Raw genomic sequence first — 2026 nt, forward strand, 5'->3', positions numbered from 1 at the left:
CTTCCTCTGGCATGAGTCAACCATCTGTTTCCCACTGGAGGGAATACATGTCGAGCTTTCTGAGTGTGCCTATTCAAACCCCTCTACTAGAATTGGGATGAGGAAGCAATGCCTGCGCCCCAAGCCTTTGTGGGAAAGGATAGTGAGAGTCCCAGCACAGCAGTCCTCTTCCCAAAATCCCACTTTGGACTCTGCAATTACCCGCATCCTCTCGACCTTTAAATTGGAGTAAGAAGCTTCTGGATGAGGAACCCAAGTACTGTGTAATGGGTTCTCATGTATTTTCATTGAACACTTAATTATAAGTTTTCACCCTGCTTCTGAGTTCACCTATTTTGAATTCCACATATAAGTGAGGTCATGTGGTATTTGTCTTTCTGTGCTTGGCTTATTTCACTTAACATAATGTCTTGCAGGTTCATCTATGTTGCCACACACAGTAAGATTTCCTGTTTTTTAAAGGTTGAATAATATTCCATTGCATATGTGTACCACATTTTCTTTATGCATTTATCTGTTGATGAACACAGCTTGATTCCACACCTTGGCTTTTGTGAATAGTGCTGCAATAAAGGTGGGAGTGTAGATATCTCTTCAATATGCTGATTTAATTTCCTTTGGATACACTGTACACCCATTAGTGGGATTACCGGATCATATAGCAGTTCTATTTTTAATCTTTTGAGAAACCTCCATACTGTTGTTCATAACAGCATTCTCAGAAAAAATGTACAAGGGTTCCCATTCCTCCACTTTCTCACCAACACTAATGTTTCATGGTTTTGATAGTAGCATTTTAACAGCTGTAAGGTGATATTTCTTTGTGGTTTTAATATGCATTTCTCCGAGGATTGGTGATGTTGACTTTTTTTTCATATGCTTGTTGGTCATCTGTATATCTTCTTTTGAGAAATGTCTATTCAGTTCTTTTGCCACTTTTCTAATTGGGTTATTTTAATTCTCACTATTGAGGCATTTGAGTTCCTTACATTTTGGATATGAACCCTCATCAGATGTATGGCTTACAAATATTTTCTCCTATTCTCTGCATTGTCTCTTTGCTCTATTGACTGTTTCCTTTGCTGTCCAGATGTTTTTGGTTGATGGAATTCCATTTGTCTATTTTTATTTTTGTTGCCTATACCTTTGAGTTAGTCTTGTTTTTTAATATTTGCCCCTTCTAAGATTTGTGGAGAAAGAAATGTTGAATGTTTTCAGCATAAAGAAATGCTAAATATTTGAGGTGATTAATAGGCTAATTACCCTGATTTGATCATTATACACTGTATACATGTATAGAAATATCACTCTGTACCATAAACATGTGTACAATTATTATGTGACAACTAAAAATAAAGTAAAATATTTTTAAAAGGTAAATTAATGATAATTATGGGTTTGACTATTTGAGGACTATTGAGGAAGAATGTCAGAGAGCCCTATGCTCTTATCACTTAATAGAAGAATTTTAAAACTTAGATGCTATAATAGATAGTTTAAAAATATCTAACAACTTTTAAAAACACAGACTATAATGTTTTAATTAAATTTATATACTCAAAATTCTATTCCTCAGAATCTATATTATAGGAGTAAAGTAATTGTATGAAAAGATAAATGTTGGAAGATATTTATTTTAGCATTGTTCATTGCGGCAAAACAATAAATAAAATAAAATGATTGCTCACTCATTTATAACAGGAATATTGAATAAATTTCAGCGCATTCTGAGCATGAAGCCATTTCAAAAGCATACATTAACACGATAGCAGTTGAATTATAGGCATTTCCATAATATATTATTGGCTGATAAATACAAGTTTCAGAAAAGTATAAAAACATAATCTTGATTTGGTTTAATCATAAAAAATATGTTTTGTATTTTTTGTTGTTTTCTTACTAAAAATCTATTTGGAAATGTTAATAAAAATAGTATTATGCTTGTGAGGGCATTTACATAGTCTAAAATGTATTATTTCCCTTGTCAAAACACATTTCTCAGTTTGATTTCATGGTTTGGGTTGGA

The sequence above is a fragment of the Homo sapiens genome, chromosome 21, assembly GCF_000001405.40.
Source record: "Homo sapiens chromosome 21, GRCh38.p14 Primary Assembly".
Lineage (NCBI taxonomy): Eukaryota > Metazoa > Chordata > Mammalia > Primates > Hominidae > Homo > Homo sapiens.